At 39.3% G+C, this 23,404-nt stretch overlaps 1 long non-coding RNA gene across 4 annotated transcripts in view; it reads right to left on the bottom strand.

Moving 5' to 3' along the window:
• Positions 1 to 21,297: 21,297 nt before the first annotated feature.
• Positions 21,298 to 23,404, bottom strand: part of LINC01010 (long intergenic non-protein coding RNA 1010) — a 66,305-nt gene continuing 64,198 nt past the window's right edge. For all 4 annotated transcript variants that reach the window (NR_038216.1, NR_038217.1, NR_038219.1 and 1 more), the window contains one exon: positions 21,298 to 22,530. This is a non-coding gene — a long non-coding RNA (long intergenic non-protein coding RNA 1010). The remainder of the gene's footprint in view (positions 22,531 to 23,404) is intronic.

The raw sequence follows: 23,404 nt of genomic DNA, 5'->3' as shown, positions 1-23,404 counted from the left end.
TAAAGTCTCTGTTTCTTCTCCCCCTCCTCCTCCTCTTTCTCCTTCAGCTTCTTTCCTTTAAATATGTACAAAACCTTTCTTCTTTTCCAAAATCTGTCTATATTTGACCTGTGAGCTGTAGTGTGCTGAGTCCTGCATTAGTAGGAAAGATCTTGAGTTTCAGAATGACGATGTAAAGCAGAGACCCTCCTCCCCGCACCCATTCTCTGCAACCGACACTTGGATTACTTTTCTTTTACTCTTTGTCTTTCTCTGAAGTATAGATGTATGGTTGGCTTTCTGAGGTCAAATATAATTAAGAGGTAGCCAACCATTTGGCAAATTTGAACCAAGAAGAGTTCTGATATAAAGAATGTAGGACCCATTCACTCCCAATTAGTCTCTTCACTGAAAGGTGGCTTACACCAGGTATATCTCATTTGCTAATTTGCTTAGTCCATGTCTAGGGAACCATTGTGATCAAGCCAATATACCCAGGCCAGAGCAGCCTGCTTTAGAATCAAAGCTTTAGGCTAGGCGTGGTGGCTCACATCTGTAATTCCAGCACTTTGGGAGGCCGAGGCGGACAGATCACTTGAGGTCAGGAGTTCGAGACCAGCCTGGCCAACATGGTGAAACCCCGTCTCCATTAAAAATACAAAAATTAGCCGGGCATGGTGGCGGGCCCTGTAATCCCAGCTACAGCTACTTGGGAGGCTGAGGCAGGAGAATCACTTGAACCCAGGAGGAGGAGGTTGTAGTGAGCTGAGATTGCATCACTGCACTCTAGCCTTGACAACAGAGTAAGACTCCACCACAAAAAAAAAAAAAAAAAAAAAAGAATCAAAGCTTTAAAATCCAGCAGAAGTAAAATTTCCAAGTGGGAGGGAAGAGGATCAACAGGAGAATCTGCAAGAGTAAAAGAGGAAGAAGATGTGTGCTGCATGGCACAAAATGAATCTGCAAAGCATCTGGGAACTGCAGGTATGTCTGACTCATAATATTAATGCTTTGCTTAGGACCCCTAATCTCCCTCCTTCTCTTCAATTTTCTGAAATAACCCACATCTGTGAAGTGTTTTCCTTTGCTTATATTTTCAGACCCTACTGATGCCTGGAACTCACTGGAGTCAGCATGTCCAGGCAGTCATTGTAGCAAGTCAGAGTGGTGTGATGAAATGCTTCAGGAGAAAAACATTTCACCACAGCCTGGTTCACTCAGATACCTTGCCAGGTACTGTGGTTCTCATGTGAAGAAATTACCCTTTACCTCTTTCAAGGTGTTTCCCCCTAAAACAGCAGATTCATTTGGACACTGAGTAACTCGCTATTTTTTTTTCTTAGGCCAACATTTGTTTTGTTCCTTGAAGCTGCAGGTTCAAACTCAAGTGTGGTTTTTCTTTCTATAACACACTCAATCTTCAATGACTTACTCACGTGCCAAGTTTGAGAGACACAAAAGGAATACCGGTGCTAAGCAAAAAGCCAACAGACTCTTGCTCTTGTTCTTGTAACATACTTCTAGAACCAAAGGAATGGGGTCTCCTTTTAATTGTGATGTAAAAAGTAGAAGAAAAGAGAGTTAGCTTTTCTATAGTTGATTTAGAAAAAGGGTCTCTGAAATTACATTCATATAATATATACTTTCACTGGAGTAAGCCGTATAGTAGATCTTCATTCTCAGCAATCACAATGTACTCCAAGTGACTTATTTATATGTGAGTTTTGACTCCACCTGCCTTTGTTAATTATTTGGTAAGCTACTATTAATAAGGTATTCATAGCTCATTTGCTAACTCTTCCAGGGAACCAACATCTCACTCGGGCCTCTGATATTGTAACTGTGGGCCTTTAAGAAACAACGGAAAACCCAACTGAATAAAAACTGACCTCCTTTGTGGCTGCCCTGATGGAAGGGGCTCAGGAGCAACAGCCTTCATGGTGCCCACCCTCTGGGCCAGAACAACGGATGCCCCACAACTGAGTTTAGTGCCTCCAAGAACCACAGGTGAGGGTTCTGGGGGTAGGGAGAGTGGGAGAAATTTCACCATCCCACAGATGAATGAACACTGGTCTAGTGTGTTTAGGGCAGTGTACCTTGACCCAAAGGGATTGCATGGAATACACTTTATGTTTAATCTCCTAACACCTTTTTGCTAATGCAATTACTTGAAATATAACTCAATAGAAAGACACAACCCTCCTGAAGTGTCTTGAAATGCTTATTGTACAGGAAGGTTTCTGCTTATTTGCTTAATTTTTAAGGATTTGTAGCTTGATTTTTCCCCCGAAAATGGATGAAAGGATGAGCAGTGTTAAATTTTGAATATCTTAAGAAGTCGTGGCCCTTGTTAAATTTTGTTTGAGAGAATTCATAGAAAGTTACTGTGAAACAACCATATTCTTAGAAAGCTTCTCATTTAAGACTCAATTGGGTCAGAGCTTAGGTTATTCTGAGAGCTGAATACATTTGTTCTCTCTCTGAATCACAGATTCTGACATGTTATTTTAGAAGTTCTTGGTCTTTTTCTAAAAATTGACAGGCATATGGAAAAGTTAATAATTCAGTAAGTAAAATATGCTTATATCTGCAAACAACAGAGATTAAAAAAAGGTGCCCTATTTTTATTGTTAATCTTTCTAAGAGTTTTGAAAATGCAAACCCAAACTTGACATAGAAAAGGTACAAAAGATCTTGGCCCTTAAATTTTCTCTGCTGTTTTTCATTTCATGCAATGTTTTAATTTTCCTTGAGATGAAACCACTTAGATACCAGCTTTAGATCACTATGTCCTATACTATAGGATGTATAGAATTTTAAAAGGTAAGAACATTCTTGGGAAAATGTGGCTTCTATGAAATATAGTCACAAACATAAATAATGGCTATTTCTACATTATTTCTCTTCATTTTTTATTCATATTACATTAATTATATTCTTATAATTATTTCAGTATTCCTTTTTTTTTTTTTTTTTTTTGAGATGGAGTCTCACTCTGTCACACAGGCTGGAGTGCAGTGGCACAATCTCTGCTCACTGCGACCTCTGCCTCCCGGTTTCAAGCAATTCTCCTGCCTCAGACTCCCGAGTAGCTGGGATTACAGGCCCCCGCCACCACACCCAGCTAATTTTTGTATTTTTAGTAGAGGCGGGGTTTCACCATGTTGGCAAGGGTGGTCTCAAACTCCTGACCTCAGGTCATCCACCCACCTCAGCCTCCCAAATTATTGGGATTACAGGCATGAGCCACCACACCTGGCCCCATTTATTTCTTTAAATTTATCTGATTTAAGACAAATTTGGGGATGATTTTCTTGTAAATGAAACTAATGTCTTTCATGAATGAGTAGTTGCAAACCAGATCTGATATCATTTAAGGCGATATGAGGAGGACTTAGCTAGTCACTAAGTTTCTCTATTTATTTTCTACACTTCCTTTCAATGATATTTCAGTTTATATTTGGAAAATAGCTTCCAAACTATAAAAATTGCCTCACAGTCCATAAAACAATATGCCACCTTCAAGCTAAAGATGAATACTTTTTTTTTTAGAGCATGAAAAGTTCTATTCCTTGGGTTGCTGTTCCATCTGTCCATAACTTTACAGAAAGTTAACTACCAGGAGCTCAAACTTAAGCAGATCATATGTGAGGTCATACATAAATTCATGGAAAAAAAGGAAGCCCTTCTTGCTGACAGATTTTGCTGTGAGCAATGGGATAGGGGCAGTTGTTTTCCTCCTGGGGCCTTAGTTTCTTTAACCTTGAATCTTCTTTTTCCTATTTCTGCATGACTGCCTTCATCTTTTCTTGGGATCTCAGCTTAAAGGTCACCCTAGAGTGATCTTTTCAGAGTAGGTGCCCTATTATATAATTGTCTCTGTAGCACCCGATCTAAGTTTAAGGTGCCCTATAATCGTCTACATAGCACTTATCATGAACTGATACTCTTGGTTTTTGTTTGTTTCATGTCAACCTCCTTGTAGTTGCAGAGCATGAACTCTGTCTTATTTGTTCTGTAATCTGGCACCTAGAGTGGTGCTTGGCAGGTCTTATGAGTTGAATTGTGCCTCCCAAAAAGATATGTTGATGTTCTGATCCACAATACATCAGCATGTGACATTATTTGGAATAGGGTTGTTGCAAATGTAATTGTTGGGATCGCAAGGAATAAGGTGTATCCTTAATCCCAAAAGACAGCTGCCCTTAGAAGAGAAAATAACACACAGAGAGGACACTGTCTGAAGACACAGACACGCAGAGAAGATGGCCATGTAAACAAGAGGCAGAGACTGAAGTTTTGTGCTGGAAATCAAGGAATGCCCAGGGCTACTAGAAGTGGATGAGACAAGCAAGGCTCCTCTCCCACAGGCTTGGGAGGGAGCACGGCCCCACCAACATGCAATTCCCTTTTCAAATGCTGAGGGCTGACACGCTACTCCCTCAACCAGGGGCCAAATATTTGCCTTAAAAATGAAACTAAAGTAAAAACAAGATTTTTGTAATAAAAACCGGCTGTATAGCAAACAGGATGAAATGTATCATTCTATTCCAGTTCTCTAGTTGGGCTTGAAATAATATTGTAATAAATTCATTAAAAGTACTAGTAGGAGGAAAATTTTTTACCATGATTTTGTGGTACAGTGGCTCCTGGCCACTGTAAATTTGCAAGTTTAAGCAAGGATCATTCAATAATTTTAAAATACTTTCCTCCCCCAGCTTTTTTTTGCAGCAGTAAGAGCATACCTCTGAGGCACTGTGAAGAATCTGATAGTCGAACTGAATGAAGCCAAGTCCAGTCTTTACGGAAAAATTTACACAACACTTCCAGGTGGGCAGATTCAAAGACAGGATGAATCATGGTTCAGTGCAGTGGTTCCTGGCTGTAATCCTAGCACTTTGGGAGGCCGAGGCAGGGGGACTGCTTAAGACCAGGAATTCAAGACAAATCTGGGGAACATAGTGAGACCCCGTCTCTACAAAAAATTTTAAAAAATTAGCCAGGTGTGGTGGCCCGTTCCTGTGGTCCCAGCTACTCAAGAGGCTGAGGCGGGAGGGTCACTTGAGCCCAGGAGTTTGAGGTTACAGCAAGCTATGATCGCACATCACTGCACACTAGCCTGGGTGACAGAGCGAGACCCTGTGACCCCCTTCCTCCCTGAAAAAAAAAAAAAAAATAGGATGAATCAGTGTCAAAATTATGAAGAAAAATATTCTGGGTTCTTAATTCTCAAGGTCTGCATGACCAAAATGGTAAGAGCTCAGAGGGTACAAATTCAAAATGTATTCATTGCTAGAATTGATCTTTAGTGACTGCATTTGAAAAATCTGAAACCACTTGAAAAACAATTGTATATGTGCATATACGTACATGCGTGCGTATGTGTGTGTGTGACCTGAAAAATTTCATTATGAGGTCCTTTATATGGCTACTGTAGCAAGTCCTTCAGTTTATACCAAATGTCTCCTCATAAATCAGTAAACCTCTTCATTTGTTCCTTGATAATGTAAGAGCAATTTCTTTAGAAGGCATATACTGTCCTATAACTGCAGCTTTCTCTTTGTCTCATCTGTACACAATACATAGAATTAAGCACAAAGAAGCAAATGGATGTACCAAAAACAAAGAGCAAACTTTGCAGGGAGTTACGTGCAGGGTCTGAGAGCATTTCCTGTCTCATAGATAGGAAGCATTTGCATCACGGCTTGTCATCTGCGCTGTCGGGCCCAGTGTCTCCTAACTTCCTGAAATAAAACCAGACTAAGCAAAACAATAAAAGTGACAATTTCTCTGTGTTTTGGAATTCCAAACTCCTATTACTGGAACATTAAATCTTTCAACCCTACTGGCTAATGTGCCTTCCAAAATTAACAGTGTTTTTGTAATGGTTTGTTTTTAAAATATAATGCTGCAATATACATTCCATATATTATAACAACTTCTTATTATTATTATTTTGAGATGGAGTTTCACTCTTGTTGCCCAGGTTGGAGTGCAATGGCGTGATCTTGGCTCACTGCAACCTCCACCTCCCAGGTTCAAGTAATTCTCCTGCCTCAGCCTCCTGAGTAACTGAGATCACAGGTGCCCACCACAATGCCCGGCTAATTTTCTATGTTTTTATTAGAGACAGGGTTTCACCATGTTGGCCAGGCTTGTCTCGAACTCCTGACCTGAGGTGATCCGCCCACCTTGACCTCCCAAAGTGCTGGGATTACAGGCATGAGCCACCGCACCCAGCCTATAACACTTATTTTAAACATTATTCCCAAATTCTGCTAATCTTTGTGTCAAGAGAAAAATACTGGCTTATTAAAATTTACTTTTCCTTTTACTCTTCTAAATGGCTTGAACAAAACTCATTCTCCCTTGAATGTTAATTGGGTTTCAGGTGTGGGCAGATGACAGAGAAATACATAATATAAAAACAATCCTTAGTTTTGTCTGTAAATTTATCTTTCTTGCCCTTCAAGTGTACTTGATGGTCCAGTGGTTTCCAACTGTGATACAAAATTTTCATTTGCCTTTATAAGAAATCATCTCGTATAAAGAAGTGGTCATATTTTATCAGCATCATCACCAACAAACACATCACCATCACCACTTTTTAATTTGTAGAAAATCCGGTCTTATCTGCCAAGTTGGCAAGATATCAAAAGAGCGTGTTTTAAGGTGGTTCAGTTCTGGATGAGTTTGGGAAGTTCATGGTCGAGTCTGGGGAGAACTTCTATGTCATAAACCTCCACATCACATAGGTTAACAGAGTAATAGAATTGTGTAGGTACAGAGACCTGATGAAACCTACTGACACCTCTGCTTTTCAAACCAAGAGAGTGCCCCTTCTAGGGTGCCCTTGGGAATGTGCAGCCATGAATTAGGTGTGCCTGGAGTAAAGGAACACACAAGACTGCGAGATGGGATGAGGTGAGTGTGAGTGAGTGCATGGAGAGAGGTTTAGGTAGGACATAATATCTATGTTTTAAATATCAAAACAAACTCAGATGATGGAAACGAATATAAATTTTTCATAAAATTTTAGGGAACAACTAACTTATTTTCTGTTTAGAGCAAGCATTCAGACCTGTAGAGAGTACAAATTCATTCAGCCCAGAAGAAACGCTTAAGGAGAGTGATCTGATCCCATGCTTTCATTATGCTGCAAGGAAATAGAAGTGATTTACCAGCCCACTAGAATCCTGGTTTTCTGACTGCCAGGCCTCAGCTCCAATTCATAGCTCTTTAAGAAAAGAGGAAATGCAGAATTAACTTCTATTAAATTTCATCCATGGGCCAGACAGGATGACGACTGCCAGGCATTGTCATCGTCACAAGCGGTGGTTACGAGCTCAGGCTCCCAGGCACACTTCTTCAGTGGGAAATTGGTTCCACCTCTTACCTGTGTGACTTTAGGCAGGTCATTTTTAAGTCAACTGATTCCTAGTTTCTTCACTATAAAATGAGGATCATAAATGAAACTTCTTTACTGACAAGAATTAGATGAGACAATCTTTGCAAAATACTTAATGGTGCTTGGCGTGCAAATGTTAGTTCAGTGAAGACTGAATAGAAAAAAAGAGAAAAAAAATCCTTTGTCTGTGGGAGGGGTGAGGAAGAGGCAGTGGGGGTCGATTTTATGGCTGTTTTACAGATGAGAAAAATTGGGATTGAGTAAAATTCACTCATTTGCCAGCAAGTTGCAAAACCAGTATGTGAAGTTGTGTCTGTTTGAACCCCCACTTCAGATTGTGTCTGCGACACCGCAACGCCTTCCTGTTAAGAGAGCCGAGAGCTGGAAACTATGCTGAGGCCATCCCCTTTGGGAGCTGGCTGCCGCACTCACTGCACTCATGCTGAGTTCTGAAAGCCCTCTGGCAGCTCCCCAGCAATTCCAGCAATCTGCAAAGTTCTGAACTGGGTGCTGCCCAGGTGGCAGAAGTCAGTGAGCATATCCAGGTGACAGTGCAAATATGATTGTAGGTAGGAGTCCGGAATGTGACCTTGACTTCTTTTAGCCATTTCCCAGTCCGTTCTCAAGGGCAGATGCTGCGTCCTCTCTCAATGCAGGGCTGACTCACTCCATGCCCAACACTGTAAGAGCTTGCTCTCTGTCTCAGCTCTGCCAATAACGTGACCTTAGGCAGCTCACTTTACTTCTTCAAGGCAGGCTTAGGATAGATCCTCAAGCCACACCCCTGGCCAACAACTCGGATTCTACAGAGTGAGACACTGAAATATTTATATTTCTTTATGGTAACCTTTTCATTGAAGTAAACCTTACATCAGGAAAAAATGTGCAAGCCCTGTAAATATACAGATTAATTTTCACAAAGTGAACACAGTCTCACATTAAATAATAAAGCAATCCAGCCCAGAAGACACCCTCTGGGCCCCCTACTAGGCACCACTCTACCAAGATAACCACTCTATTTTGACTTTTAACATCATAGCTTACGTTTGCCAATTCTGAAATTTTAGATAAATGGAATCACACAGCATGTATTCTTTTGTACGTGGCTTCTCTCACTCAGTAGTGTGCTTGTGAAATTCATCCATGTTATTGCAGGTAGTTCTAGTTTGTTTTCATTGCTATATAGTAAGGGATCAATCTCCGGTTTTATAAATAAAGTTTTATTGAAACACTGCCAGGCTAATTTGTCTCAGTATTATCTACAGCTGCTTTCACACTACAGTGGTAGAGTTTAGCTGCCACAGAGATTACATGGCTGGCAAAGTTAGAAATATTTACTATCTGGCCCTTTACAGAACAAAGTTTGCTGAACCCCACTGTATGGTATCCAATCATATGAGCCCACTCTTTCTTTCTTTTTTCTATTCTTTATTCATTGATGGACATTCGGGTTTTTTACAGTTTTGAGTTATTACAAATAGTGCTGCTGTGAACATTCTCGTAGTGTCTTTTGGTGACATTTCTGTTGGATTTATGGAATGTGTATTTTTTAAAATCTTGGACTGATGCTTATGCCAGGTTTGGGAACTCCTGCTTTACAGACGTAATCTAACCCAAAATGTTTAAATTGTCTTGCTCCAAGTCATGCAGAAAATAATTGGCAGACCTGGGATTGATAACCAAGCCCTGTTCTTGGAACAATTCTATGTTTCCACTGCTCTTCCCATAGTTATTATCTTTAGAAGAACATTGTTAGAAAGCTCTTTACTTATCCAAGTTCTTTCACAAATATGACTCTTTTCTACGGTATTTGGCTGTACATTTTCAAGAACAGAAAACTCACTGCCTTATGATAATTTTAGAGAGAAGAGATTATGTAATCACTTAACCCAGTCTTCTCACATTATAAATTAGTAAATTGATGTTTGGAGATACTAATAATTCACTCAAAATAGGCATTTTGAGCCTTGACTTTTATCCTGTACTACAAAATGATTTTGAACCTGCATTTTTTGTCTTTGCAATTTGTACTACTTCAGTCAATTAACTTAATTAACTAGTATCTATTTAACTATTTAAACATTATGAAAGTGCCTGAAGTAAAACCAATAGTCTCTCTTTCACCTTCCAACTGTATAGCCTCTTTCTCCTAGGCGACTACTGTTAACAATGTTTTTCAATCATCCATATATAAACATATGAAAATGCATTTAACTGCTATGAGTCCAAACTTTGATAAGGAAAAAATAAAATTTAATTCTTCTTTAACTCAAATTAATATCTAGTTGGAGGCTCCATGTCATTAGTTAAGTGAAGACTCAATCTTAGTTAATTTGGAATACCCTCCCTTTCCCTGTAGCTGTACCTCATTTCAGAGGGGTTAACGTAATGCCAAGAATTTGGTGTGTGTTGGGGGCTGGGGGTTCAGCATGGGAAGCATGTAGACCTTGGTAGCCATAGTGATATTGAGACATGTTCCCTCCTATCTGGGCCTTGGCCACTGGTCCCCACAAATGTCATGGCCCATGCTGCCAGATGCTGTGAGGTCTGGTGGTTTATGTGCCATGCTTGGGCCATGGCAATCTCTGCCAGGCTCACCATATGGCCTGGCTCACCACAGCCATTCCTCTGTGGCAGCTTCCCTGGCCTCCACCTGGAAATGGAGGTCCAGCTCTCTGGTTTTATTTATTTTTATTTTTATTTTTTTGAGACAGTCTCTTTCTGTCACCTAGATTGTTTGTCATCCTCTATTCTTGATATTACAACACAAATGCAGTGGCACAATCTCAGCTCACTGAAAGTTCTGCCTCCAAGGTTCAAGTGATTTTCATGCCTCAGCCTCCCAGGTAGCTGGGACCACAGGCGTGCACCACCATGCCTGGCTAGTCTGTGCATTTTTAGTAGAGAAGGGGCTTCATCATGTTGGCAGGCTGGTCTCAAACTTCTGACTTCAGGTGATCCGCCTGCCTCAGCCTCCCAAAGTGCTGGGATTGCAGGCATGATCCACCGCATCCAGCGAACATATTTTTTCTTAACACCCCCTCACTCCTACTCACACACACAGGTTTTGGGTTACTATAAATAACACCATAAATGTCTTCTCAAACATCTTTTCTTATGTTTATTGCACCTTTACATTTCCTCTGCTGCGAATTGCCTCTTCCCGTTTGTCGTTTTCTAATTAATGTGTAAGAGCTCTTTGTGTATTAGAAATATTAAGCCATTGTCCTATATGTGTTGTAAATATTTTCTCTTAGAAGCTCATTTGTTCTCTGCTTTATACTACACAGAAATTATACATTTTTATTGAACTGACTCTGCCTTTATTTCCTTTATAAGCTACACAGTACTCTATACTATGAATAGTTTCTTTAAAATGTATTCAGTTATTTACCTAACTAAGCTCCCTATCTTGCTATAGAAAGCTTTTCTCATTCCACAGCTATAAAATGTTTTCTAAATTTTTTAAAAATATATTCTATAGTTTTCCTTATTTCATATTTGGCTCCTTAATATTCAGGAATTTATTTTGGGCTATGTTACAAGATGGGAGTTGAAGGCTATTTTCTTGCATATACATAGTCAATTATCCAACCCCATTATTATATGTATTTTGTATTATATGCAAAATGAATATTATACACCTTTTCCCAAATGATTTCTGCTCTCAGATATAGTCAGACCTACTTCTGGATTCTATTGTTTTCCATTGATCTATCTGTTTTTCTATCAGTACCATTCTGCTTTGATTGCAGTAGCTTTATAGTAAGTTTTGATATCTGTTAAGGGAATTACACCTCCTTTTCCATTTCTGAAACAGGACTATAAAGCTCACGAGACACCTTTCTTCTCTAGATATTTCTAATTTTCCACTAGGCCAGGGTGCTGCCTTCTTATAAGCTGATTTTCTTATGAATTAAGAAGCATTACAATTTTTTAAGTAAATGAAGCTTTTCATGTCTGAGAAGTTATACAAGCTGACATCCTTCAAATTTTGTCAAATAATATTATTAATGAGTTGGCCATAATTTTGGATTCGAATTAGCATTTTCTTCAACTTTAGTCATTGTCTGAACAATAGGAAAATCAGAAAATTAAGGGAGAAAGCACAGTAAATTTTATGATTAATGAAGATCACTATTTTGCTTGAATAGAAATAATTTGGTTTAACAATAATTTAATGCAATTTTGTAATCTTAATGCTCAAGTAGCTGGTCTTCTAGTGCTGTGTTTTTCTTTGGTGGGGGTCCCCTGTCCCCCATCTTTATTTCTAATTTGCATCTAGCTTTAATTTTTAAGGGTTATAAAGGTTTAGACAGCATCGTATTTTTTTATTCCAAGCTTCATTATGGATGTGAAAAGAGCTGAAGTTTATTATTTGTTTAATGCCAAGATACTAACTAATTTTCCACTAAACTCCATGGACAATTTGGTTCTTATGCTTTTTGACTAATTTATCTTTGTTTGTAAATGCAGCTATGTAGAAAGACTTCTCTGGATAAAATATTAATCAATCTAAATAGAACCATTCGGCATATAGTATATTACTCAATTTATAATCTGGAATTAGCACCACAATGATTCATGCACTGTAATATCCACTACTGTACTCCCTCCTACACACTGAAAAGCTTTATATTTTGGGAAGAATTTGCCTTAATAACCACCACAGTGGGATTTTGCCCTCATTTCCTGTGTATTTATTCTGGGTGGTGTTTGCAAGATGATGAGGATCTATTTTGGTGGGGTTCTTTTCCTCGAGGAGGAAGTAAGAGCACTGCGCCTGTCTCCAGCTCCATGACTGCTAGACAGATCAGACTGGGGCTCTGCCAGCCAGGCTCCAGGAAGGCTTCTCCCTTCTGATGGAACAACCAAACAATTGTTACTATTTACATGGCCCAAATGGAGAAGTATTCTTAGAACAATAAGAAAAGGGAAAGTCAGCCACCAGCAGGAAAGAAGGCCTTTAAGCAACATCAAACTCAGAATGTGACTGTCCTTTCAATGTAAACAGTTTGCACAGCACTTCTCTAAATAACAATACAAGGAGTGCTGGCCATGTGCAGGGCCCCTACATACACTATTATTTCTAATTCCATAACAGCCGGAGCAGATGTGTATTAACCCAATTGGACATCCGTGAAGACACCAAGGCCCAGAGAGATCATAAGAACCTATAGAAGTTTCCATGACTGGTGGATGTGACAGTCAAGCCGCAGTTTGTATAATACACAGCCATAATCTTATCTACCACTTTTAAAAATTAAACATAGATGAAATGTTTACAGTTCTTTGTGAGTGAATCTATAATTTTGCTTAAAAAAAGCACAAGGCAGTGCTGAGGGCTCCATTAACAGTTTGAAATATATTCTTTGTCTTCTGAGTTTCTCTGAATATTACAGAGGCAATGGGAACTTGAGGGAAATTTGCTCACTGCTGTGTGTGACAGCATACCAGCTTCCTTTATCACATAAAAAAGGATTCCCCTGGATCTCGCTCATTCTGCAAACAATGCACAGGGCGAACTCTTATTCTGCTTACAGTAACTTTAAATTTTGAAGGCAAGTGTGTAAATTAAGGATCTAAGCCAGGTGTGATGGAGCGCACCTGTGGTCCCCACTACTCAGAAAGCTGAGGTGGGAGGATCATCTGAGCCGGGGAGGTCTAGGCTGCAGTGAGCTGTGATTGCACCACTGCACTCCAGCCTGGGTGACAGAGCAAGACCCTGTTTAAACAAAAAAAAAAAAGAAAAAGAGGAAGAAGAAGAAGAAGGCGATTAAACATCTACATTAACATGATCATCATACTAAGTTTCAGTAGAGCTTGGGTTATCCACTGCATGAGCATGAGTGTGACGTGCGATGTATGCATCTGAAAAATCATTCTCTATCACTAAATATTTGGTCTCTTTTCCATTAGCATTTAACTTTTCATTGATTGGTTCTATTAAATGCTAGATCAATGAAGCAATTCTTTACCTTAATTGCATGTCATTTAAAATAGGTGAGAGAAGAAAATAATGACTCTACAAGTGAGATGTCCATTGGATTGGTTTTGAATATGTAATCATGTATGAGAACAAGTCAATAATTATTGACTTAAGGACTATAATGGACCATGAAAAGTTACTAGTTTTCTAGTTGTTTCTAGGTGTGATGATGCAAATAATTTTTTAGTTTTCTATTAACTTTTTCTTAGGTTTTCCAGGGCCCAGCCTGGGCCTACTCTATGCTTAGGTAGAGTATAGAGTACTATACTAAGGTACACTAAGATGTTTATTATTTGAAGCTCTCCTTCTCACTGCCCAGCATGCCAATCTCATTTCAAGGTTTCCTGTTGTCAGGTTCTCCTGTATTGGCCTGCCACCAGCCACAGGAATATCCAGCATGCACACAAGAGAGGACCTCATGCTCCCACGAGCTTCTGTTGATAACACTTTCATAGATAGGGTCACAATTCATTAGTTTCCATCACAGAAAGCAGGATTCTGGGCAAATCAGTCAGAAGACAAGTATGCTGTAAAGTTAGGATGACAAGAGTGGGGGTCTGGCATCTGGAACTCTGTTCAGGGCACCCAACATGAGGAAGATGAATTAGAATGGAAGAAGAATGCTATGAACTACATTGTGTTATCCCCTCCCCCAAAAATTAATATGCTGAATCTCTTCCACTCAATGTGATTGTGTCTGGAGATGGAGTCTCTGGGGAGGTTAGGTTTAGATGAGATCTTGAGGGCCCTCGTGATGGATTAGTGGTTATAGGAAGAGACACCAGAGAGCCTGCTTCCTCTCTCTTGCGGTCATGTGAGGACACAGCAAGAAATTGGCTGTCTGAAAGCCAGGAAGAGAGCCCTCACTGGGGAACTGAATCAGATGGCACCTTGACCTTGGACTTCCCAGCTTCCAAAACTGGGAGAAATAAATTTCTGTTGTTTAAGCCACCCAGTCTATGGTGTTTTGTTAATGGCAGCCTAAGCCGACTAATATAAAGAATGGTAAGAAGGGAAGCATTAAAAGAGAAATCTTCTCCAAAAGGGAGGTAGAGGGTTTCCTCATCCCTTTGCCTAAGGTCACCTGAAGCTTACACTGTGTTAAAATGATCAATCTATAGGACACCAGGCCTTAAGATGGCTGCCATGCCTGCAGTCTTTTCCAGAGAGAAACACTGTATTCACAGCCCCTGCTGAGGAAGATCTCTAGGAAGTCCTTTTTTTTTTTTTTTTTTTTTTTTTTTTTTTGAGGCAGGGTCTCACTCTGTCACCCAGGCTGCTGCACAATGTCGTGATCATGGCTCACTGCCTCCCAGGCTCAAACCGTCCTCCCACTTCGGCCTCCCAAGTAACTGGGACCACAGGCGTGTACCACCATGCCCTGCTAAAGTTTTTGGTTTTTTAAGTAGAGACGGGGTTTCGCCATATTGCCCATGTTGTTCACAAACTTGTGAGCTCAAAGCAATCATCCCACCTCTGCCTCCCAATCTAGGAAGTTCTTTAAGTGTAGGTGGACATGTTTTGCTCCACATCAGTCTGCCACCCACAGACAGCTGGACTAAGGTTCATACCTAACCCAAAGGCAGCTAAACTAGTCAGACCAACAGCCTGTGAGGTGGTCTGACGCCAGAAGCTCTGCCCTTTATGAATCATGGTGATTAAGTTGACCAACCCAATCCTCTCTCTTGAGACTTCAAAGTTACCTAGTAAAAATGAGCTATATGGTAGCAGAAGAATATAGGCACACAGAGAGATGCGAAGGCAGACAGAATACTCAAGAAGCTGGAAAGGGAACAACCAGTCATTAGAACTGTGTGGAATCCTGAATCACTTTTCAGAACATAAATTGAGTTCTAGTCTCCATGGGAAGCTACGGTTTTGTGATTCCTTGTTGTGAGCCTTTTTCTGGACTCTGGTTTAGATTGTAAGCTTTAGAAGAGGAAATCTAGTACAAAATTCTTTCTTACTTTATTTCCACAGGTGTTATTCCACAGGGCATAACACTCTGGCTTCATCTCTTGAGGTAGCATGAGTAAGTCTCTTTCCAGCAAACAAAAAGGCCACATAAACGATGATCTAAAATAGCTTATCTGTATATCTGTATGTTTTTTTCTATATAAGATGTTAGGTTACATAAAAGTTTAGGAAGTGGGACTTAATAGGTTGTCTTGGAACTTTTCTAGCTTAAGCTCCAATAATAAGAAAAGTAGAAAATAAGTATTCCTACATTTTTAAGGAGATATGCTAGACAACTCTATGTAAGAAAAATAATAATTTCTGTTACATGAATGAATTAATGAAATACCTGAAAAGAAATAAATTTCAAGTGTTTGCAGAAATATCTGAGAAGGAATTTCAAGAGTTTGTAGTATTTCAATTTTTTTTCTAGTTTTTATTTTCTCTGCTTCCTAATTTTTGATTTTTATTTCCCCTTAGTAAAAAGTAGCCATTCTCAAAATGTGGTCTGCAGACCCTTAAAAGTCCCCAGGATCCTTTCAGAAGGTCTGAGAGGTGAAAAGTATTTTCATATAGTATACGTTCCTTTTTTCATTGTTCGACATTTTCACTGAGGTTGGTAAAAAGGTAATGGTGGGTGCCTTGCTCTGACTCAAAACAGTGGCACCTAACTATAGTAGTTAGTCATTGCACCACCTATTCATATTTGAAAAAAAAAAAAAGGCTAGCTTCACTGAAGAATGTCCTAGATGAAGCAATAAAAATTTTATTACATCTCGATCTTTAAAATAATGTTCTTGTGGTATAATGAGGAGTACTGTATTAGTCCATTCTTTCATTACTATAAAGACATACCTGAGACTGGGAAATTTTTAAAGAAAAGAGGTTTAATAAATTTAATTGGCTCATGGTTCTGCAGGCTGTACAGGAAGCATGATGCTGGCATCTGCTCTGCTTGGGAGGCCTCAGGAAATTTACAGTCATGGCACCACGCAAGGCAAAGGTGGGGCAGGCGCGTCACATGGCCAGAGCAGGAGCGAGAGAGCAAGGGGGGAGGTGCTACATATTTTTAAATGAACAGACCTCACAAGAACTCACTATTGTGAGGACAGTACCAAGAGGATGGTGCTAAACCATTCATGAGAAACCTCCTCCATGATCCAATCACCTCCCACCAGGCCCCACCTCTAACACTGGGGATTACATTTCAATATGAGATTTGGGCAGGGACACACATCCAAACTATGTCAAGTACACAGAAAGCCCCTCTGCTGCCTACTGAAGTACGGTGGTTGTCTCAAGGAAAAGCACTTATGCAACTGAGTGGTGGGCTGAACCAGCCACTTTTTTCATGAAATACTATTTTTATTTGAAAGAACAACTGACAGAAAACTGTAGTTCTTCAAACATTGGTATTGACAGACATTTTTTTAAAAAATGAACAAAGTGGGTCTGTCATTTTAAAAAAAGATTTGGCAGTATTTGTTGGGAATAATGAAATCTGAGCTTTCAAGTGAAAATTAGAATTTGGAAAACTTGTAGCTGCCATAACGAACTTGACAGCTTTGAAAACTTCAACACTTTTTTGTTGTTGTTCTGGTGAGATCGGTGATGATATTAACAGATGTGATTTTTGATATTGCATAGTGACATAGATCAACATTAACAAGATCTGCATATCTTATGGAACCAAATTTTCCAGATGACCAATACTTAATATTACAAAAGTCATGAGTCAAATGTCTGTCTCAAGCACCAAATAGATCAATGAATTTTTTTAGACCAGTGAATTTTGATGTAACAGAGTATGAAATTTTTATTGATACAGTTTCAGATATCATGTTGTAACAAACCTGTAAGAAGCTATCACTTGCTGAGTTTTAGTATAGTATCAAAGAAGAACATCCATAATTAATTATTTGAAAATGCTGTTAAATACTGTTTTCTTTTCCATCTACACATTTGTGTGAAACAAGATTTTCTCCATATACTTAAACCAAAGCAAAATAATACAATAAATTGAGCGCAGAAAGAGAAATTAAAATCTGGCTATCTTCTTTTAAGCCAGGTATAAAAGAGATCTGCAAAAATGTAAAATAAAAGCATATTTCTATTTTTGCTTTGGAAAATATAATTACTTTTCAGAAAATGTGTTATTTATGTTGACATGTAATGAGTTTTATTATTATTTTAAATGCATTAAAATATTTGTAAACTTTTCAGTTTTAATTTATATTATGGTAAATAGCAATAGACCTAATCCATGTAAGCGAAACCTCTTTGAGTTTCTCAACAATTCTTTTTTTTTTTTTTTGAGTTAGAGTATCGCTCTTGTTGCCGAGGCTGGAGTGCAATGGCGCAAGCTCCGCTCACTGCAACCTCCGCCTCCCAGATTCAAGTGATTCTCCTGCCTCAGCCTCCCAAGTAGCTGGGACTACAGGCACGTGCCACCATGCCTGGCTAATTTTTTTGTGTTTTTAGTAGAGACAGGGTTTTGCCATGTTGGCCAGGCTGGTCTCGAACACCTGACCTCAGGTGATCCATCCACCTTGGCCTCCCAAAGTGCTGGGATTACAGGCGTGAGCCACCGCACCCAGACAACAATTCTTAAAAGTGTAAAGGTGGCCTGAGACCAAAACATATGAGTTACTGCTTTTATCCCTTTAACCTACCTTAAAAAGGTAGGTAAACAAAGAAAGATTATATGCATATTAACACACAAGGGAAAAAAAATACAGATACCAAAGGGAATTCTTGTTATAGAATTGAGAAGCAAAGTTCCAAATAACATGTATGAAAAATATTTTACTAGCATACTGATTTCATTTTAGCTAGGAATCCAGCATAGCATATGAATGCAGCGTCAGCTATTAGATTATATTTAAACTAAGACAATAATTGCATAATTGATAAGAAACATGCAAAACAACTCATCTAATTTGAATCAAATGAGAGACTATTCATATTTTGAAAATGTATTTATTGTCTAATGCCAGCAGATTTAGTTATAAAAAGACTTGAAACTAAACAAAGATCTTATTTGCATGCTCATATTCCTGTACAATATTCAGATAACAAAAGCAAAGCTAAATTTTTAGAAGTTGTACAAGAAAGTGCTCACAATTTATTCAATACATTTGATAGTATAAGAAAGGCTATATTTTGGTGAAGGTGGTAACAAGTTTCAGTCAAATTCTGCCCATTATAATTAATTTCAACATGATTGTTTCAGTTATTCTGCTTCTGGAATTTGTTCTGTCAATACCTGAAATAGGCTGTTAGTTTTGACTTAAAATATTTCCAGTCAAGATTTTTGTATATTCATTTTAGTCAATATCTGATCTATAGCTTTTGGGGGGTTTTTGGTGCAACATTGACTAATGTTTTTCGCCAAGTAAGAAATAGGTATTTTTTTACAGAATACAGATTCTCTCAGACCTGTCGTGCTGACCTGCTGTTTTTATAATTATACTTCTTATACAAGTAGAAAGTTAAATTTACAAACTACCTACCTAAACCAAATTCAGTAAAATTAAAGTTAACTAGCATAGTTGAATGTGATCACATAGCTTTGCAGAAATTAAGTCACTGCTAGTAGCAAGCACAGGGCTCCCACAACTGCAGTGCACCTCCTTTGGGTGAGTACGTGGATGCCACTTCTGAACTGTCTGATGATTGTATCCACCCACGACTTTTTGTTTTAACAACCAAATTGCAGCAAAATCTTCCTGTCTACACGATACTGTGATATTGTTCTTCACTGATGTACCTATTAGTATTACTATGGTATTTTTATGTTTCCCTCCTCACCCTCAAGGTGATAGTATTAGGAGTTGGGGCCTTAGGGAGGTAATTAGGCTCTGCTCTCATGAATGGGGTTAGTGCCCTTATAAAAGAGCCCCCAGAGAGACCTCTTGATTCTTCCATCACTTGAGGACATCAAATCTGCCTCGATTTTGGACTTCCCAGCCTGCAGAACTGTGGGAAATAAAATTCTGTTCTTTATAAGCACCCAGTTTATGGCATTTTGTTATAGTGACCCAAACAGACTAGACAAGTATCCAAAGCTCTAGAATTCCATGGGTACTGAAAATGCCTGTGATCAGGCCTATTTTGACCGCAATAGTTGTCTAGATCATCTAGATAATCCCAAACTTGATCATATCAATTATTTTTATTGTCTTTAGAAATGAAAACACAAAACAAGAATTTTGTAGCGAACTTGAGTGACTTTAAGTGTTGTCTTCGGAGTCCAGTTTACGAAACAATGGTTCTGATTAGGAAGACTCAAGGCTGCAGGAAAGATCCTGCCTTCAGGTGAGGGTCTCATAGGTGGTTTTATTCCTGAAGTTGAGTATTTGCAAGCTTTTCAAAGCTTTCAGAGCTATCATAATCAAAGGGCCACAAGATGGAGAAGCCATTTTTTGAAAAAACATGCTTTATGTTAGGAAAATAAAATTTTATGCATTAATCTCCACTTCCTGAGAAAGGGCTGTACATGTCTTTCCATTAAAAATAGCAAGTTTTCATGTCAAGAGCACTTTTATTTGCAAACCTCATAGTAAATTAGAGCAAATTCTGGCAACATCTGCCTCATTCTTAAAATCTAAAGCAGGAATTAGCAAGCTATACCACCTGTGAGTCAAATCAGCCCACTGCCTGCTTTTTTGTAGATGTAAGCTAAGAATATTTTCAGCATTTTTAAAGTATTGTTTAAAAAGAAAAAAGAAAAAAACCCATATGAAACAGAGGACTTATGTGGTTTGCAAATTATAAAATAGTTAATATCTGGCTCTTTATAGAAAAAGTTTGCTGACCTCTGCTCTAAAGAATTGCTTCTTTTTAGAAAGCAATATTAGTTTTATCTTGAGAAAAAGGTAGATAATATTCACATTCTATCTGTCCTCTTTCTTCTTCACCCTGTTTTATTCTTTGTTTACCTTTTCTAGCTATCAAAGAAAGGCTTTTATCATGCTACTAGATTTGTTGTCTAAGTTCTATCATTCAGTCCTTTATTTTAAAAACAGGTGAGAAGGCAATTTATATTAATCCTCTTTAAAAAAAAGACACTAATATGAAATAGTCTGCTTTTTGACTTGTTTTTCTGTGGGTCAGTAATTTTTTTAAAAAAGAGAATGTGACCTATTTTACCTTAAATGCCTACATTAAAGTAAAGCTATTTCTTAATGTCTTTGATTTGCATTCTTATTTATTTATTTATTTATTTTACTTTATTGTTTGGAGACAGGGTCTCACTCTGTCTCTCAGGCTTGAGTACAGAGGCACAACCAGGGCTCACTGCAGGCTCTGCCTCCCAGGTTCACGTGATCCTCCCACCTCAGCCTCCTTGAGTAGCTGGGCCCATGAGCGCGTGCCACCATACCTGGCTAATTTTTTTTTTTTTGTAGAGACGGAGTCTCCCTCTCAGGCTGGTCTTGAACTCCCAAGCTCAAGTGATCCTCCTGCTTCAGCCTCCCAAAGTGCTGGGATTACAGATGTGGGCCACCGCACCCAGCCCTTTTCTTTAGTAATAATACTAATAAAGTAGGTCACTAACGTGGGAATAACTTGAAAAATGTGGGAATAACTTGAAGAATGTTTAACCTGAGTTCAGAGCATCCCAGATGGAATATATAATTGTTAAACTCAGGAAAGGACAACTGAACATTAACCTCATTTTCTAAATTTCTTTTCCCAGGAATTAAAGCATGAATAATATTTGTTTGGTAAGATCTAAATGGCTTAGTAATCTCTAAGCCTGCAGAGAAATTCACTTTCAGAATTGCAAAATGGTTTATAAGGTTCATTAATAGTCAATTTTAAGTATGATTAAGTGCTTAGACTATTGTTAAGTACCCAAGAATTACTTCTTGTTGATTAACTATTACGATCTCCTTTACCTGACTCAGAGAATGCATTTAAGTAGCCAAAGAAATGTGATAATTACTCATTAAGGAAACAAAATGTGGTGGGTATCTGGATTCCTTTTAATCTTCAGTGGTTTATTTAAGAAAGAACATTGGAAACTAATTCCACAGGGAAAATGCTGTTGCTGAAGAAGGCGTTGGGACACAGATTGCTGACAACAGGATTTGGTTTTGAGAACTGAATTTGAAAGACCAAAATGAGTTATGTTTTCTTCCCTGAAGGCAGATGGGTACTTGTGAAGAACTTCCTTCAGTAAGAAAGTTAGGATCCCTGCCACGTTCTCCACCTCCTCACAGTTTCCTCCCTTCTGGAGCTCTCCACGGGAAGCAGGCACGAGTCACCAGAAGAGGGAGGCTCTTGGTGGGGCACTCTTGGTGGTCCGAGGACTCAATCAGGGTCCTAGAGGGTGAGCCCATCTTAACCAGAGATGGCAGAACTTGACCCAAGAAGGCCTTGTGGTCATCGGGGCTGTACGCAGCACACCCCTGGCACATTCTGTGCCTCTCTTCTTTTGACTCTATTTGTTGCCAGCAAACAGCGACGTCAGGACTTTGGGGAAGGTTGTGTCCTTCAGGCCTTTGTTAAAACTTTGTAAAGTTGTAGATGGCACTGCCTTCCCAGGCACCAGCAGAATCCTACTCATACCCTACTAATCCTTGTTTGCAAATGCAGGGCATGATCAGTCAGGCCCCCCTTGGCATGGTGCTGCAGGCTGCCCTTACCAGAGTCAGGGGCCACCGCCAGCTTTGCTGCTATCCTGGATTTTTAAATACTGCCCTGACCTCCCACTCTGAGCTCCATTCTTTCCCCGATTCCTCAGGCAGCTTGGACTCGAGCCTGACTTGTCCAGTTCCTAGCCTTTTATTCTTCCAAGGGTGCACCAGGGCAGCTGGAATCTCTGGATCTTAAAGCACCTCCTCTTCCACATCCCCCCAACACCCCACGTGCAGGACCACACCTCCACCTTTGCCCCTGCTGGACTTTGACTTCTGGGCACACCCGGAGCAGCCAGACAGCTTGCAGTCTGAGCTTTGGCCTGCATTTTAGAATTCAACGTCGTCGCCTCTTCAGGCTTAATGTTTCTACATTTGCTGCTTTAATTTCCCCTCCAGCTCTGAGCTCTAGCTCTGCCTTGGCTTGCCTATTACCTTGGCCACACGGCCAAGCTGGCAGGTTCCCCGAAGCCAGTCTATTCATGCCCATTCCTCAAGTTTGCTGTAGCTATTTGTGTGCTCCAGCTTCCAAGAAGTCTCCAGACATAGGACAAAGGCTGAAATGAAAGAGTAACAGGAAGTCAGTTATCTTAGCAGGTTCCCCTGTGAATGCTGGTGAGGGGTTGCTGAAAGGAACTTCTCAGATCAACACTGACAAGGATTCTCAAGGGAAGGCTTGGTGATGGAGTGAGACAGATATTTAATTTAGATATAGAGATATAGAGGACAAGCCTAAATTAAAACATCAACTCTTTTACTAGCTCCTTTCATAGATGAGAAAATGGGGGACCAAAAATATTAACTGCCTTGGCCACTATCACTCTGATTAAAACAGAGCAATGTTGGAACCAGCGTCTTGCTTGCTGGATGGGTACAGTTCTATCTACCCTTATTTATTCAACAAGTATTCATTGAGTGTCTACTCCAGGCCATGCCACCACAATTTAACAGTTCTTGGCTGTATAATAAATAGGTGCTAGAAAACATACGAAGTAAATATAATAAAAGGTAGCCGTTGTAAGGGACATTAATCTAGTTAAAAAATAATATCTTTAGAATTTTAAATTAATGTTATTTATGCTGGTGTGATGCTAGAAGTATATGTAATAAGTTTTTATGGAAATTCATAAATAAGAGCTACCAAATTGTGCTGTGATTCTCAGGAAGGTTTCTTATGTTGGATGGTACAGAAATCAAACTGGAAGGCAAGATAAAATTTAGATTTTGAAAAGAGAGGGAAGGTTTTTCAGGAGGAGAAATGGAAGTTTTGTGTTGAGGATTTAAAAGAGAAGATTGTGTAGTTAATGTGGGAACAAATTATAGAAAGCTTTGAGAAAAAGCCAACCAAAAATGTTCATGGGGGCTCGGGCGTGGTGGCTGACACCTGTAACCCCAGTACTTTGGGAGGCCCAGGCAGGCGGGTCACTTGAG

Source organism: Homo sapiens, chromosome 6 (assembly GCF_000001405.40).
Source record: "Homo sapiens chromosome 6, GRCh38.p14 Primary Assembly".
NCBI lineage: Eukaryota > Metazoa > Chordata > Mammalia > Primates > Hominidae > Homo > Homo sapiens.
Note: the sequence above shows the minus strand (reverse complement) of the source record. Positions and strands in the feature narration are given on the sequence as shown.